At 41.4% G+C, this 18,911-nt stretch overlaps 1 pseudogene; it reads left to right on the top strand.

Moving 5' to 3' along the window:
- MAPK6P4 (mitogen-activated protein kinase 6 pseudogene 4) lies at positions 1,856-5,925 on the top strand (annotated as a pseudogene).

The raw sequence follows: 18,911 nt of genomic DNA, 5'->3' as shown, positions 1-18,911 counted from the left end.
CCAAATAAAAGGTTTTGAAATAAACATGTGGTGCCCAATAGATTAATTATTTGTAATAGGTAAAAACGTGGGGAGAAAAGCTGTGTGGATGAGATGAAAATGTTATTTCCAAAGATTATATGCAAATGTATGCATTTTCCAAAGATCTAGACAGAGGCCTGATGATGAAACATCCAGGTTTAGCTGTTACAGTCCGTGTTCTGTTCTAGATCTCCATTCTCTGGGCTGGGTGTCTTGATGCTGCACAAGCCAGTGTTCAGGACATGGAGAACCTAAGTGTCTTCCTCCTGCTTCAAGAATTTAATAAATATGCAGGTAATTATTGTGCCAATGACGAGCTTCACTCTGGAAACTATGTATTTCTCCAAGCCCCATCCAGACTTTTGTGATTCCAATCTGCCATGGGGCTAGAAATAAACACTGTCGTTTAAAATACAGAGCCAGGCTGGGTGCGCTGGCTCATGCGCGTATTCCCAGCACTTTGGGAGGCTGAGGCAGGAGGATCCTTTGAGTCCAATAGTTGAAGACCAGCGTGGGGAACATAGGGAGACCCCATTTCTACAAACTGAAAATTTCAAAATTAGCCAGGTGTGGTGGCACCAACTGCAGTCCCAGTTACTCTGGAGGCTGAGGTGGGAAGGTCACTTGAGCCTGGGAGGTCGAGGCTCCAGTAAGGCATGATTGCACCACTTCATTCCAGCCTGGGTGACAGAGTGAGAGCCTGTCTCCACACAAAAAATTTAAAATTAGCCAGACATAGTGGCATGTACTTGTAGTCCTAGCTACTCAAGAGGCTAAGGAGGGAGGATCGCTGGAGCCCAGGAGGCTGAGACTGCAATGAGCTGTGATTGCCACACTGCACTCCAGCTTGGGCCACAGAGCAAGACTCTGTCTCAAGAAAAAAATTACAGACCCCCAAAATTTCAGACCCCATCCACTTTTCAAGTTCCTCACACTTTAGTTTTATGTTATCTTTTGACTCCAGTCCTTATCCCTTGCTTTCTACACGTAATTTTGGAGAGAAGCAGACAAATCTCCATTCTTGGAATATACAAGGCACTTTTATGCCTGCTTGCTTTGATTTTAATTGCTTCTGCTTAAATCCCCCCTTCCACCCGCTGCGTCTCCATCGCATCTGCATCTGGCCATGTAGTTAGTTCCAGCCAATATGACTAGTTAAGAATGATTAGGAGTGTCCCACCCAGATTTCAAGAAGTGGTTGTGCCTCTCCCACTCTCTTTAGTCTTCTGGTAGGTGGATGGCAGAGGTTGAGGAGGCCCTAGGAAGCAGCAAAGTATGGGAAGGAAGAAACTCAGGTTCCAGAATCATTGGGTAGGATAACTGCACACCCATTTGCACAGCCACATGAGGCTGCCACACGTGCCACAAAGCTCCGTTAGTAAGCCCCTGGTATTTTGGAGTTGATTTGTTCAGAAATTTAAAACACTGAATACTAGGCCAGGCACGGTGGCTCACACCTGTAATCCCAGCACTTTGGGAGGCCAAGGCGGGTGGATCACCTGAGGTCAGGAGTTCAAGACCAGCCTGGCCAACATGGTGAAACCTCTTCATTATTAAAAATACAAAAATTAGCTGAGTGTGGTGGTGGGTGCCTGTGATCCTAGCTACTGCAGAGCCTGAGGCAGGAGAGTAACTTGAACCTGGGAGGCAGAGGTTGTAGTGAGCTGTGATCACGCCACTGCACTCCAGCTTGGGCGACAGAGCAAGACTCTGTCTCCAAAAATAAATAAGCAAATAAATAAATAAATAAATAAATAAATAAATAAATAAAACACTGAATATTGCAGACCCTAGGAGAGGAGGAGGATTCCACAATTTAAACTTGGTCACTTGGCTCTCACGGGTAGGGGTTACATAGCGGTGACTGTGGCAAAGCGAGAACCTCAGAGATGCTGCTGCCGCCAGGACAGCCAGAGACCTAAGCCGACACTGGGGGCTGTCCGCGGGCCCCACACTCTCTTGAGGAGTTGCAAAAGTCCCGTTGTATCAGAGTAAGATGGACGGTAGCTTTGATTGTGATCGTGGTGAGCTAGAGCCACCTGATCACTAACAGAAGACATCTTCTGTTAACCAACAGCCGCCAGGGCTTCCTGTTGAAATATATAGCAACAAAGGAAGAAAAGAAGCAAAACAGAAATAGTGCTTGCCAGCACCTTAGAACAATGCTGCTCAGGACTAGTCCAACACTGAATGTATCTGTACTGTGAGGAGAATGTTCATAGAAGACTGTTGTGTGCATATTTATTCACATGTTTGTTAAATGTCATATCATTTAGCACAGTAATCTGAGTGCATAATATGTCATTTCATGCCGTTTGAGTTTCTTGAGTGTTTTCTTTAAATGTCTGCAGAGTTGCTGCCCCTTTCTTGAACTATGAGTACTGCAATCTTTTTAATTCTCCTTGTGAGTAGAGCTTTTTGAGCTTTAAGTCTAAGGGTAACTCAACAGGCCTGTTTGACATATGCAGTGAACATCAAGAAACCATCTTGCTGTGGAACCATAATTATTTTTCTTCTCCCTTTTTGAAAGATCTTTCCTTCTGATGCCAATTTTCTTCCTTGTTTACACAAGTTCAACAATTCGAAAGGAAAAGGCAATAGTAAGGGTTTCAAAATGGCAGAGAAATTTGAAAGTCTCATGAACATTCATGGTTTTGATCTGGGTTCCAGGTATATGGTCTTAAAACCATTGGATTGTGGAGGCAATGGCTTGGTTTTTTTCTGCTATAGACAATGACTGTAACAAAAGAGTGGCCATCAAGAAAATGGTTCTCACCAATCCCCAGAATGTCAAACACGCTGTACGTAAAATCAAAATTATTAGAAGACTTGACCATGACAACACTGTGAAAGTGTTTGAAATTCTTGGTCCCAGGCGAAACAGACGATGTGGGCTCTCTTACAGAGCTGAACAGTGTTTACATTGCTCAGGAGTACATGGAGACAGACCTAGCTAATGTGCTGGAGCAGGGCACTTTACTGGAAGAGCATGCCAGGCTTTTCATGTATCAGCTGCTACGGGGGGTCAAGAATATTCACTCTGCAAATGTACTGCACAGAGATCTCAAACCAGTGAATCTTTTCATTAATACTGAAGACTTGGTGCTGAAGATATGTGACTTTGGTCTTGCACGGATTACGAATACTCATTATTCCCATAAGGGTCATCTTTCTGAAGGATTGGTTACTAAATGGTACAGATCTCCACGTCTTTTACTTTCTCCTAACAATTATACTAAAGCCATTGACATGTGGGCTGCAGGCTGCATCTTTGCTGAAATGCTGACTGGTAAAATCCTTTTTGCAGGTGCACATGAACTTGAACAGATGCAACTGATTTTATAATCGATTCCTGTTTTGAAGATCATCAGGAGCTTCTCAGTGTAATTCCAGTTTACATTAGAAATGACATGACTGAGCCACACAAACCTTTAACTCAGGTGTTTCCAGGAATTAGTCGAGAAGCACTGGATTTCCTGGAACAAATTTTTACATTTAGCTCCATGGATTGGTTAACAGCAGAAGCTCTCTCCCATTCTTACATGAGCATATACTCTTTTCCAACGGATGAGCCAATTTCAAGCCATCCTTTTCGTATTGAAGATGAAGTTGATAATATTTTGCTTATGGATGAAACTCACAGTTACATTTATAACTGGGAAAGGTACCATGATAGTCAGCTTTCAGATTGTGATTGGCCTGTACATAACAACTTTGATATTGATGAATTTCAGCCTGATCCAAGAGCTCTGTCTGATGTCACTGATGAAAAAGAAGTACAAGTTGATCCCCGAAAATATTTGGATGGAGATTGGGAAAAGTATCTGGAGGACCTTACTTTTGATACCAATTATTCTACTGAGCCTTGTTGGCAGTACCAAGGATCATCATGAAAACAAATATTGTGATCTGGAATGTAGCCATACTTGTAACTACAAAACGAGGTCATCATCATATTTAGATAACTTAGCTTGGAGAGGGAGTGAAGTTAACCATTACTATGAACTCAGGCTTGTTATAGATCTTTCCAATTGGAAAGAACAAAGCAAAGAAAAATCTGATAAGAAAGGCAAATCAAAATGTGAAAGGTATGGATTGGTTAAAGCCCAGATAGCACTAGAGGAAGCATCATAGCAACTGGCTGGAAAAGAAAGAGAAAAGAAACAGGGGTTTGACTTTGATTCTTTTATTGCAGGAACTGTTCATCTTAGTTCCCAATATGAGCCTACTGATGTTGTTGATAAATGACTTGAATAGCTCAGTGTCCCAACTAGAATTGAAAAGTTTGATACCAAAGTCAGTAAGCCAAGAAAAACAGGAAAAAGGAATGGCAAATCTGGCTCAATTAGAAGCCTCGTACCAATCTTCTTGGGACAGCCAGTTTGTGAGTGGTGGGGAGGACTGTTTTCTCACAAATCAGTTTTGTGAGGTAAGGAAGGATGAACAAGTTGAGAAGGAAAACACTCACACCAGTTACTTGGACAAGTTCTTTAGCAGGAAAGAAGATCCTGAAATGCTAGAAACTGAGCCAGTAGAGGATGGGAAGCTTGGAGAGAGAGGAAATGAGGAAGGATTTCTGAACAACAGTGGGGAGTTCCTCTCTAACAAGCAGCTCGAGTCCATAGGCATCCCGCAGTTTCACAGTCCAGTTGGGTCACCACTTAAGTCAACACAGGCCACAGGAACACCTTCTGCTATGAAATCTTCCCCTCAAATTCCTCATCAAACATACAGCAGCATTCTGAAACATCTGAGCTAAAATATTCAGCAGACATTTATCTTTGAATTCTTCATGAAATGGGCTTGTCTTTTTTTATTACTAGTGTTTAAGTCATTTTTTACTTGAATCCAGTGGTGTCATTTAGTAAGGATTTTATTAGTTCTTGGTTTTAAAATCCAGACTGTCTTTTTCTATAGGTGAGATAGTTTTCATTTTAACTGGCATGCCATTTGCACACAAAAATGAAGAATAGAGCAAAATAATGCAATGTAGAAGGAGACAAAAGGAATGCACTAAGACAAGTAAAGAACATTCTTTCATAGAACAGTGATCTGTTTTATAGGAGACAAATCTTGCCTTGAAATTTACACAGTGAGACTCTACATAATTGCATGAAAATGTCTATTTTTTCCTAAGACATTTTTCATTCATGAGTATTTTCCAGTTTTTCATACTATACACATTTCTTAAAACACATGATACCAGCAGCAACTGAAAATGAATGCCGAGTTTGGCACACATGTGTTATCTACCTCAAGGTAACAAGAGTATGTGGCAACACATATACCACCCACAGTGCTTCACAATATGCACTTCTATTTAGCCAGCATTTATTGTAGTAAACTATTCTTAATAAGACTCATTTGTTGTTTATAAAAGTTCTGCATTACTGTGAAGTGTTAATACATCACATCTTATTTATTTTAGCAAATCAGTATATTTTCTGTATTTAATTATAAAAATTAACTTAGTTTTAAAAATTTATTTGCAAATACACTTTTTCCATTTGGCTCTATGGTTTGTTGCCTACCTAGCTGAATATATAATGTCAGCTTATCTTAAAGCTGTCCACGTACTTAATTTACTTAGGAGTTCATTTACTTAGGTGTTACACAGTAACGTGCTCACTGTGTATAGGAATTTGTATTCTGGAGGTGCTTGATCTATCTACAAAGAAAAATTAATTAGGAATTACTTTATTATGAAGTGCTCCTAGAAGTCTTAATTGTGTTTGTTAAAAAAAAGAATGTTAGACTTGTGTGCATGGAAGTAATTAAGGTACATCATTGTTGTAGTTTAAAAGTTGTACGTGATAAGACATTTTGTTTTTACTGTATGTTTTTACTGAATGATCTATTCCCCATCCCAAGGCAAGCATGAATAAAATTAGGTTAAATGTAGAAAAATAAAATAAAATAAACTTGGCCACTTGTCCTTCATGTTGTATCTGTTTGTGTTAAAAGAAAAAAATATTTATTAAACACCTACTTTCATTAGAAAACAATGTTAGATTTTCTTGGAAATGTGACTATGATCAAAGTATGGTCTTTACTCTTGAGAAACTTAAAATTTAATATCATCATAGTTTTCACTAAGCTATAAAGGGATCTTCCTTGTTTACCTATTGTCTTGGAAAACGTGTACATTAAACAGCAACTCTAGGTGAGGTTTCTAATTCTGTATTTTGTGCAAATGAAAAAGAAATCTCCATCAAATGTTATCTAAGAAATATTTATTTTTTATTTTTTATTTTTTGAGATGGAGTCTTGCTCTGCCTTCACCTAGGCTGGAGTGCAGTGGCACAATCTCGGCTCACTGCAAGCTCCGCCTCCCGGGTTCACGCCATTCTCCTGCCTCCAGCCTCCCGAGTAACTGGGACTACAGGCGCCCGCCGCCATGCCCGGCTAATTTTTTGCATTTTTAGTAGAGGCGGGGTTTCACCATGTTAGCCAGGATGGTCTCGATCTCCTGACCTCGTGATCCGCCCACCTCGGCCTCCCAAAGTGCTGGGATTACAAGCGTGAGCCACCGCGCCCGGCCAATATTTCTATAAAATGTTTAAGGATCTTACTCTGTGTAATGTTCTGCACAAGTCACCCTAGAAACTTTTGAAGGACACAGTCCCTGAATTAGATGAGTTTAAAATATCATGACAAGCAGAAAAGTTAGACCATTTTCTTCTCCCATTTTGGAGGAATGTCTTGTTTATATAAAATTAACTTTTTATCTATTTCAAATGGTTTTAAACTAATAGAGAAATCAATTACATAAAAATAAAAATAAGATAATTGAAACTGTATAACAAGATCTTATTTTACGAGGAAAGCAAAACTTCTTAGAAACTAAAATAATTCTTTTTTTAAGAGGAAAAAATAGAGTATAAAAATCTCAATTAGAAAAGCAAATTACTTTCAGTGCCAGTATTCTCCTGGAATAAATGTGGCATTAATAAACAATTCACAAGACTCTACTTGAAATTTTCATTTTGTTTACACTCTTTTGGCCAACAGCTTACTCAGTCCTGACTCTGTCCCATGTTATTATCTAAATGTACTACAGTGCAAGTGAAATCCCTTTAAATAAAGGAGATGGCTTAGAGACCATCATCGGATACACTCCAGATTGGCCCAGAGAAGTACCCGCACATGCTTTGATAAGACGGTAAATGCCTTCCTGATTTTCAAAGTAATTCTATCAAGAAAATCACCTATATGCTGTTATGTAACAGCAATATTTTTTTGTTTTCACTTAAGTGGCCATTGTGAATGAAATGCCTGTTTTAGAATAATGAAAAGAGTAGAATTGGAATGTTTCTAACACAAAACAATGATAAATATTTGAGGTGATGGAAACCCCAATTATCCTGATTTGATCATTACACATTGTATGCTTGTATAAAAACATCACATGGATCCCATAATACATATGGATATACCTATTATGTTCCCAAAATAACTTGAAATAAAAATTTGTTTTAAGAAGGTAAACCTATGCGAGCTTCCTAAAAAATTTGGCTCAATTTTGAGTTATTAAATAAAAAGAAACTAAAGTTAAGTTCTTAGAAACAATGTTGTGTCCTAGTATAAGGATATATTCTGGTTTTGGTTGTAGACGAGCCCCATCAAATTCAAATATGTCAGCCCCAGCTCATTCTGCCTGCACTTCCAATGCTGCAGACAAATAGACAATGCCTCTCACAGCATGAAGAGTTAACCACTAAATGACTTCCCCTATTACATCCATGTAAAGTTCATCAAGGCAACAATCCCACTTTTTCCTTGTTAATAGTTTACTATTACATGCGTGCATTTTTTTGTTTTTGCTTGTGCAAAATATTTCTAACTATTGGCCTTAATTCTCTCTTGCATTTGTATTGAGATTAAGATTGCTATTATAGACCCATGCAAATTTTAACAATACATAAACATACCTAGAATACATATACACACACAAACACAAAAAGAATAATGGTAGACAAAATTATTTGCTTTCATATTTGTATTAATAGTTTTAAAACCATATAAAATTTAAATATTTTCAGCATCTATACCAAAGATAGCTGGTTAAAATACTATGATTAGAAAAACAATTAATAATAAAACAGTCAAGGATTAGAGATTTTATTACTGTTCTAAATCTTAATATTTTTCAAAATTTTGCTCTAATGGATCTGTTTTAAAATAAATATTCAATATGAAATGTAAATCATTCATTAATTAACTTTATTAAGTAAAATCATGCTTTTGGTAATGCATACTGTGTTAGTTCGTTTTGTGTTTCTGTAAAGGAATACCTAAGGCTGGGTAATTTATAAAGAAAAGAGGATTATTTGACTCACGGTTCTGCATGCTGAGCAAGCATGGTGCCAGCCTCTGCTTCTGGTGAGACCTCAGGACACATAACTGTAGCAGAAGGTGAAGGGCAAGCAGGTGTGTTATATGGTGAAAGAGGGAAAAAGAGGGAAAGGAGGAGGTGCCAGGCTCTTTTTAACAATCAGCTCTCCTTGCAGTGAGCCGAGATCCCGCCACTGCATTCCAGCCTGGGCGACAGAGCGAGACTCCGTCTCAAAAAAAAAAAAAAAAAAAAAAAAAAAAAAAAAAAAAAAAAAAACCAATCAGCTCTCACATGACTAATAGAGCAGGAACTCACTCATTATCCCAGGGATTGCACCAAGCCATTCATGAAAGATCCACCCCCATGACACAAACGCCACCTGTGAGTGTCCATCTCCAACACTGGGGATCACATTTTGACATGAGATTTGGAGGGGGTGAACACCCAAACCATATCACATATTAATCTATCTCTTGACACTTAAAAATCCAACTTTATAACCAAATAGTACTTTTCCAAGTGATAAGATATTCTAGAAAATAACCCTAGAAAGGAATAGAACTCTATTTTATTAATCAATAATTATTTATTGAGCTGATTCATATAGCAATACGTATGTGATACTTGCTATACGTAAATTTGCATTATTGAATATCAGTGTGATTCAGCAACACATACTTTTTCCTCTATAAATTGACAATGAAGTAATTCCTAGAGGACAATACTGGTAATATTTCTTTGTATTCAGAACATCTCAATATTAAATTCTCTATATTGTGGTTGGCTCTTACTTAGACCTTTATACTATGTCAGCCACCCAGAGCTACATGCAATGAAAATAGAGAAAATTTCTTTCAAATCGATCTCCATTCTCTCCCTTACTGAATTTATGTACCCTCTCCTAACTCATTTGATAATAGCAGTTCTGTCAGAGACTGTAGTTGTTCACCAAAATGTATGCTGCTGTTCTTACTGAGCACAGATATAGACTACATTTGCCATGCTTTGTGAAAGTTGGGTGAGGCAAAGTGAGTAATTTAGGCAGTAGAATGTGAATGGCACTGGTATGTACCACTTGAGGGTGGGTCTTCCAGATAGCAGCATGCTTTCTCCATATTCAATTCCCTGTTTCTCTTAGCCAGGAAGGAAATGAGCAGAGTGATCTTGGAAGTTACCTCAAAAGTCATGTGCTAAGGATTGCAGAGTTGCCAGGCCTGGGTACCTCAATAACCATCTGAGGCCAACTTCCTGTTTACTTGAACCAGCCTGATTGGTACATGACAGCAGAGGTGTTGGTGGGGGGGGGACTTTTAATTGCTTGACTCACTAAATTATTGTTAGTTTTGTTATGGAGGCATAGTTACTCTAACTAATATAAACTGCCAAAGTCAGGTGTTACCATAATAAAAATGTGTGACATTTTTTAACAGTTGGGAAATAGACGGTAAAAAAAAATTATAACATTCTAACCTTTTTTATGACATCATAAATATTTTGATAAACTGGTTATGTAGGCTAAATTAGAAAGGACCCTATTTGCCTCTTATTTTCCTGTAAATGTCTGAAGGGCCTCTAGTGATAACCTGTTTCCTTTTGTGTTGCGGGAAGTCAGGGACCCCAAACGGAGGGACTGACTGAAGCCATGGCAGAAGAACATGGATTGTGAAGATTTCATGGACATTTATTAGTTCCCCAAATTAATACTTTCATAATTTCTTATGCCTGTCTTTACTGCAATCTCTAAACATAAATTGTGAAGATTTCATGGACACTTATCACTACCCCAATCAATACCCTTGTGATTTCCTATGCCTGTCTTTACTTTAATCTCTTAATCCTGTCAGCTGAGGAGGATGTATGTCACCTCAGGACCCTGTGATACTTGCTTTAACTGCACAAATTGTAGAGCATGTGTGTTTAAACAATATGAAATCTGGGCACCTTGAAAAAAGAACAGGATAACAGCAATGTTTAGAGAACAAGAGAGATAACCTTAAACTCTGACTGCTGGTGAGCCAGGTGGAACAGAGCCATATTTCTCTTCTTTCAAAAGCAAATGGGAGAAATATCACTGAATTCTTTTTCTCAGCAAGGAACATCCCTGGGAAAGAGAATACGTGCCTGGGGGTGGGTCTCTGAACTGGCCCCCTTGGGTGTGGCCATCTTCTATGGTTGAAACTGTAGGGGTGAAATAAACCCCAGTCTCCCATAGCGCTCCCAGGATTATTAGGAAAAGGAAATTCCCGCCTAATAAATTTTGGTCAGACTGGTTGCTCTCAAAACCCTGTCTCCTGATAAGATGTTATCAATGACAGCAGTGCCTGAAACTTCATTGGCAATTTTAATTTCACCCCGGTCCTGTGGTCCTGTGATCTCACCCTACCTCCATTTGCCTTGTGATATTCTATTACCTTGCGAAGTACGTGATCTCTGTGACCCACACCCTATTCGTACACTCCCTCCCCTTTTGAAAGTCCCTAATAAAAACTTGCTGGTTTTGCGGCTTGTGGGGCATCATGGAACCTACCGACATGTGATGTCTCCCCCGGCTTTAAAATTTATCTCTTTGGTACTCTGTCCCTTTATTTCTCAAACCAGCTGACGCTTAGGGAAAATAGAAAAGAACCTACGTGACTATTGGGGCAGGTTCCCCAATACTTTTGATATTAATAATTTGTTTCTTCTTTTTTCTTTGTAATCACTGCAAGAGGTTTGACAACATTATTGATCTTTACAAAGAACCAACTTTTGGTTTCATAGATTTTCTTTATAGTATTTTGTTGTTTTCGATTTCATTGATTGAAGTTGTTATCTTTATGATTTCTTTTTTCCTCCTGGTTTTAGATGTATTTTGCTCTTTTTTTCCAGTTTGTTGAGTTGGGAGCTTAGATTATTGATTTGAGGCCACTCCCTTTTCTGATATATAGATGTAGTGTTATAACTTCCTATTTCAGCAATGCGTAAGAAGTTTCCCACAAATGTTAAGTTGTGTTTGCATTTTTAATTAGTTCAATGTATTTTTATTTTTGTTTGTTTGCTTAATTTTTAGAAAATTTCAACTTTTAATACAGATTGAAGGGTAAATGTGCAAATTGGTTAGATGGACATATTGCATGATGCAGAAGTTTAAGGTATAAATGCTCCCATCACCCAGGTAGTAAGCATAGTACCCAGCAGGTAGTTTTTCAGCACACATTTCCCTCCCTCTCTTGCATACCTAGTAGGCCCCAGTGTCTGTTGTTTCCATCTTTGTGTCTATGTGTATTCAATGTTTAGTTCCCACTTATAAGTAAGAACATTCAGTATTTGCTTTTCTGTACTTTCATTAATTTGCTTAGAATAATGGCCTCCAGCTCCATCAATGTTGATGCAAAGGACATGATTTTGTTGTTTTATGGCTGTGTAGTATTCCATGGTGTATATATACCACATTTTCTTTCTTTAATCCACAGTTGATGGGCGCCTAGGTGATTCCATGTCTTTGCTATTGTGAATAGTGCTGTGATGAACATAAAGGTACAAATGTCTTTTTGGTAGAACAATGTATTTTTCTTTGTGTATACCCAGTAATGGGATTTCTGGGTCAAATGCTATTTCTGCTTTAAGTTCTTTCATGCTTTGAGTAACTGAATTAGCCTCTTGAAGAAATTCTTAGAAAGAGGCAAAACCCCATAGGCAAGGTGTTTGGATCAGCAGACAAAGGCACAAATCATTCACTACCAGTACCACTGCCTGATGTGATAAATGCACAGGAAGGTACTATGAAAACTTTAAAGCTCCATCCAAATATTAACTCAGTGAGACTGGCCAGAAATCCAGTCAGAGCCTACATCTGGAGTTGATGGCCAGAAATGAAGACATATGCTATATACCTATTTGATGATGAATGTCTATCTAGCTCAGAATAAAAAAATACCCTTTTGAAATCATCAGCTCCTGGGGAAATATGTTTTAACTCCCTGAACCAATGACAGTTCATTCTCCCGAGTTCAAATGGTTTGGGACCAAGTCTGTTTCACACATAAATGAATACTCCAGAAAACTTACCCAGGAAAACTTAAGATATATATGACTCTCCACAGAGCCTCCTAACACAGCATGGGTGACAGGCATAAAAGTCTGACTTTCAGGTTTGCAAAATTAGCAGGAACAGCCACAAGAGTTCCAGAGTGGGAGATTGTCCAGTGAGAGAAACTGCCTGCCAGGATTCGGAATGATCTCTGTTCTCTCTCGGTCAAAGAGTATGTAATGGAATTAAAAGTCATATACACTTTTACTCAGGCAAAGAAAAGGTAGAATCCATTTTTTATAACTAATTGGCTCTCTCACCAGCCTCCACCATGCTGGGATACAAGGGGGAGTTGGAGTGAAACCCTTTCAATTTTCCATTTAATATTGTCTCATTCTCTTACAGTTCAGATAGTCTCTTAGCACCTGGCTCTGTCTCTTGGGGTAAATATTCAGCCTTTCGGGTATCCATGGTGGTGGCCCAGGCAATGGGCATATGTAATGTAAGAAAGGGGTTTTGGGTCTGCATGAGTTCTTTGAGTCTTCACTAATTTCTGCTCTAGAGCCACCAGCTGGCTATGTTTCCTGGTGCCTGCAGATTCTGCTAAGGTGTGCCTGGTGATGATGTATTTACTCTCTTTTCTGGGTCAGTGCCTGGTGGGGCTGTGGGCCCTTTCCCCACCACCCCAACCCCAAGTCTCTTCCATGGCCATGTCTGTTTTCTGGAGGGCTGTTTGTGCTATGGCCTTTGCAACAGGTTCACACCCATTTACCATGGTGGCCCCTGGAAGCAGGTGTCAGCTTGCAGCAGAGTTGGTGATCATGGACCTCCCCTGTGGCCTTCAGGTCCCCAGTATGCTAACGAGACTCCCTCTGCCCTGCCATAGCACATCTTGCTCTGTGATTGCAGCCCCATCCAACCAAAGTTCAAAACAGTGAACAGGGGAACAGCCCCTCTGCCTTTGGCTTTCCCCTCAGCCCTAACTCCTCTGAGAGATTTCAGCCTGGAGTGGAAGCCACAATGCCCCTGCACCCGTCTACCTGCCTCTCTCTCTTATACCCTGCTGCACTAGTCAGACATCTTTTTAAAAATAGTTTTATTGAGATATAATTCAAATACAATTCACTCATTTAAAGTGTACAATTTAATAGTTCTAGCATATTCATAAAATTGTGCAACTATCACCATGACCAACTTTAGACCATTTTCACCAATACAAAAAGGAACCCCATACCCATTAGCAGTCACCATCCCTTTTCCTTTCAACCCCTGACCTTAGGGTACTATGAATCTACTTTCTGTCTCAATAAATTTTTCCAGCAATTTGCCTATTCTAGGCTAGGCATGGTGGCTCTCACCTATAATCCCACTGCTTCAGGAAGCCAAGGTGGGAAGATCACTTGAGGCCAGGAGTTTATGACCATCCTGGACAATGTAGTGAGACTCTGTTTCTACAAAAAAATAAAAACATCAGCTGAGTGTGGTGGTGTGTACCTATAGTCCTATCTACACAAGCAGCTGAGGTGAGAGGATCCCTTGAGCACAGGAGTCTGAGGCTGCAGTGAGCTGTGATTGCACCACTGCATTCCAGTTTGGGCTGCAGAGCCACAACCTGTCTCAAAAAAAAAAAAAGTAGAATTTCAGAAAGAAATAATTTAAAATATTAGTACTTTCAGATCAGGTTGTTAGCGGAGTAATGATTCTGTATTAAGAAGATTATCCCAGTGAGTCCTGACAAAATATCCTGTTCTAGAGATGAGAAGACAGAGGCTTACCCGGGTGAGAGGGGGCAGTGCATTGCACAGGAGGATTCTCACTGTGGTGTCGGGAAAATGGCCACAGAAGAGACCCCATGGAGGTCCCACAGCAGAGGAAGGCTGAATTGCTGTGGTGATGGCCTCCCTTCCAGCTGTATAGCAGGGGCCCCTGGTCCCAACCTTCTTGGCTATGGGCACGTCTTCCTCAAGACAGCATGGTGGGGAAATGTGCCCAATAGCATAATTCCCTGTCCTTTTGGGGTAAACGGTGCTACTACTCATGCTAATGTGTGAGTCTAGGAGATGATGTGGAATCACAGACAGGCCACCTGTTACCAGGATACCTGGGACAGAAGTCAAAACACGGTAAAATACAAAATAATTATGGCCTGAAGTGAAATAGTATAAAATAGTGTATTTTTTGATATTCCAATGAACATGTGGAACAGAGACTTTGCACCTGGCCAAGGACATGACTGGGCAGTGAGGTGGCATTGAGGAATGTAGTGTGATGAGTTCCTCCCTGGGTTACTTAAGGGCATTATGTCAATTGCTCAAAACTTGTATGCTGGTCGGTGAGCCAAGGCCACAGTTCCTAGCCAAGAAGCAGGTGTTCCTGAGAACCCGAACATCCCAGAGAGTATCTGAGAGCACACCAAAGCAAACAAACTTACTGCTCAAACACAGTAGGCAGAGCCAGAACATCAGCCTAAAAGCAGTTTAGAGGTGGGAGGTGGCACAGGTCTCTAGAGCTGTCCTGCTGCCATCCAGGGATGCCCTGCATGTAAGTCCCAATGAACTCATCTACTGCTCAAACTGAGCTTGTCTGAGTCAGTCTTTGGGCTAATAGCACCTTCTCAGTTTGTGGGGGCACATTACAGTCCCAAGTTTGTCTTGTAATAGGGAGGACATGGGGCCCAGATGCCTGTGGGAGCAGAAGCACAGCCCCCTCCAGCAGCAAAGCCCTGGGACGGAGGAGGTTAGGGAGGCATCTGGGCCCCAGGGCCCTCTCTGGCTGTCTCAGTCCCCGAGTGTGGAGTCCTCTCTGCACCCACACTCAGCAGCAGCCCTCATGGTCCTTGCTGGCAGTGAGGGGCCTCTGCCCTCGTGGAGGGAGATATAGTAGAGGACCCCACCGAGCAGCTCCTGCTGTTCTCCTGCATGGAGCTCTGTAGTGACAATTCCTGCAGCAGAGTAGGAAGCACAGAGCCCTGCCTGCCATTATCCAGGCTGTTTATGCACACAGATCCTTGTATGACAAGGACTTCTACCCAAGAAGGAAGGAAATGGCCACCTGAGGGTCAGGGATTCACTTTGGAGAAGATGAGAATAGCCCGGCCGTCACCTTCCCACTCTGCCAGCCAGGATCCTGGGTGTTAGCATGACATGACCTCGAGGATGACACCTCCCACCCACCTGTTCCTGCCAAGAGCAGACCTCCCCTTACAACCCCTTTCCCCTGCCCTCAGGCAGAGGGGTGTGGGCTGCCCAGGCATGCTCACAGTGATGGCCTATCCTGGACTGGCCTGCCCTGGCTGCCTGTGTTTCCTTTGGGGGTCTCCTGGAAAATGGCTTGTGGTGAGGGCTGAACCCACATCTGTAGCATCAGAAAAGGCTCTCATGCCAGGGTTTCCTGAGGCTACAGCCTGGATAAGTCAGGCTACAGCAGGATGTTTTCTTGAGCATCTTGGCCAAGTGAGCTGGGGAGGGAGCTGTTTCTAAATTATGGGTGCCTGATTACAAGGATTCCAAGTTCTATTGGGACCTATTGCCAAGGAAGTGAGGTCATTTCCTGAGTTTACCTTACCTGGCCCCTCCTGTGATAAGACCCCAAGTGCTCCTCTTGGCTGACTTCTCATCTCCTACCCTGGGACATCGCCATATCTGTGCGTAATTACAAGAAGATCACCTCTCTACAGCTGCTGTGGAAGGCCTGGGTATAGCCAGGGTCCCAGCTTTGAGGGACAGACCTGGGTTTAGACCCAGCTTCTCCTTACCACTTATGTGACCCTGGATAACCCACTTTGCCTCTCAGGGTCTCCCCAGGTTTGCCCCTGCACAGTGAGGATCATTCTAGCACCCGCTTCCTGGGGCTGTCCTCAGGTACGTGTGAGATGATGTTATGAAGCCTGTGGGCTGCACTACTTGGTATGTGCCAGAAGAAATGAAGTCATTATACAAAAAGATACTTGCACATGCATGTTTATAGCAGCACAACTCCCAATTGCAAAAATGTGGAACCAACCCAAACACCCATCAATCAATGAATAGATAAAGAAACTATATATTCCATATGATGGAATACTACTCAGCCATAAAAAGGAATGAATTGATGGAATTTGCAGCAATCTGGATGGAATTGGAGACTATTATTCTAAGTGAAGTAACTCAGGAATGGAAAACCAAACCTCGTATGTTCTCACTCATAAGTGAGAGCTAAACTATAAGGATGTAAGTGCATAAGAATGACATAATAGACTTTGGGGACTCATGGGGAAAGGGTGGGAAGGGGGTGAGGGATAAAAGACTAAAAATCAGGTTCAGTGTATACTGCTCTGGTGATAGGTGCATCAAAATCTCACAAATCACCACTAAAGAACTTACTCATATAACAAAACACCACCTGTTCCCTGAAAACCTATAGAAATAAAAAATTAAAAAAAAAGAAACACCTGTGGGCCGGCATCATGTGTAGCCAATGCACAAAATTAGAGATAAAATAGAGGAAGGGGTGGGACGTAGCATGGAATGCTTTCCAGCAACTGAAAGCATGCCTGGGTTCTTGCCGTGTAACCTTGGAAATGTCACTTCCTCTCTTGGCCTCATTTTCCTGTCTGCACATTCTCCATAAAAAACTTGCAGTGGCTTCCCGTTATTTTTAGATTCAGATCCATATGCTTCATCTCAGCCTCCTTAGTGGCTGCCACGACTCCCACCTCCTAGTTCATGAATCATGTATAACTCCTTCCCCATGAGTGTAGACTGGACTTAACGACTCACTTCTAACAGTAAAATATGGCAAAAGCCACGGATGTATCTTCCAGGATTTAGTTATGAAATGACTGTAGTTAATGTTGCACTCTCTCTCCTCTTCTCTCCGTATTTATCTGTTTTTTCTGTCTCTCTCATGTGTCTTAAGACCTAAAAAGGGCAACAGATGGAGGGACACTCAGGGCCTCTGTGCAAATTGAATTCTCCCAATGAGCACCCCATGAGCTTGGAAGTGGATCCTGCCCCAGGTGAGCCTCTGCTGAGAAAGCAGCCCCAGCCTTGTGGGACACCTTTTTGCAGAAGCACCCAGCTGAGCCCTGCTGGGTTCCTGAGCTACAGAAACTGTGAGATGATGAATGTTTGTTGCTGTAAGCCCCTGTGTTTGGAATAATGTTTTCATAAAGTAATAGATCCCTAATACAGTCTACCTGCTTCAGAATCTGCCCCTGCCCTTCTGCCTCCCTTCCCTCCTCTCCCCCCAAATTCCCTGCAATCACACTGGCTGCCTTTCTCACCTTCTCCCTGGCCAAACTCACTTCTGCCTTGGATCTCTGTGCAGTTGAACCTTCCCCCAGCACGCCATTCCCAGACTTTTGGAGGGCTCATTTCCACTTTTCATTCTGCTTCCAAGGCAAATGTTACCTCACTGATGCCCTTTCAGATACCCCATGAAGAGGTCTCCGGCTCTCCCTTGCAGCAGTCTGATGTATTACTACGTAGCACTTGATCGTTTTTCCCCACCTTTACAGTCATGAGCTGTATAAGGACATTTTGGTCAATGATAGACCACATATGTGATGGTGGTTTCATAATATTGTAATGGAGTTGAAAAATTCCTATTCTTTAGTGATGCCATTACCATAGTAATTTCATAACCCAAGGTATGACTCACGTGTTTGTGGTGATGTTGGTGTAAATAAACCTACTGTGCTGCAAGTCATATAAAAGAATAGCCCATAGAATTATACACAGTACACAATGCTTGATAATGGTCATCCACTACTAGTGTGCTGGTTTATGTATTTACTATACTATGCTTTTTATCATTATTTTAGAGTGTACTCATTCTCCTTATGAAAAGGTTTAGCTGTAATACAGCCTCAGGTAGGTCCTTCAGGAGGTTTTCCAGAATAAGGCATTGTTATCACAGGAGAGGACAGCTCAGCTCCATGCATGCTATTGTGCTTGAAGGGCTGCCAGGGCGACAAGATGTGGAGGTGGAAGTCGTGGGGATTGATGATCCTGACCCTGTGTTGACCTACTCTAATGAGTGTGTTTGTGTCTTAATTTCTTTTTTAAATTATATTTATTTCTTGTAGAGGTGATGTCTCACTGTGTTGCCCAGGCTGGTATTAAACTCCTGGGCTCAAGCAATCCTCCCAAAGTGCTTGGCCTCCCAAAGTGCTGGGATTGCAGATGTGAGCCATTGCACCTGGCAGTGCATCTTAGTTTTTAACAAAGACACATGAGTTCACACACAATCAAGCAAGCATTCACAATAAATTATTAAAGGCAATAATTACGGGATAACAAACCACAGTGGATGCTCAGAAGGCCAGCCCACTGATGGATGAACTGCAGTGAGTTTGGAAGTCCCCCTGGGGTGCCCATTGGTGGGGGGTAAATCTGCTGCTCTCCAGGCAATCATTCTTGGCTGCAGCTGCCCGAGTGTGGAGGAGACTTTCAGAATCCTCAGGGGCTGAGATTCCAAGAGCGCCTCAGACATTGCCAGTCCCTTGCCACCTTTATGATTCTCCACAGGGGTCTCACTATCATGATCTCAGCCACAGGGTCTCAC

This window comes from Homo sapiens, chromosome 8 (genome assembly GCF_000001405.40).
Source record: "Homo sapiens chromosome 8, GRCh38.p14 Primary Assembly".
NCBI classification, from domain to species: domain Eukaryota; kingdom Metazoa; phylum Chordata; class Mammalia; order Primates; family Hominidae; genus Homo; species Homo sapiens.
This window is presented reverse-complemented; position numbering and strand designations above follow the sequence as displayed.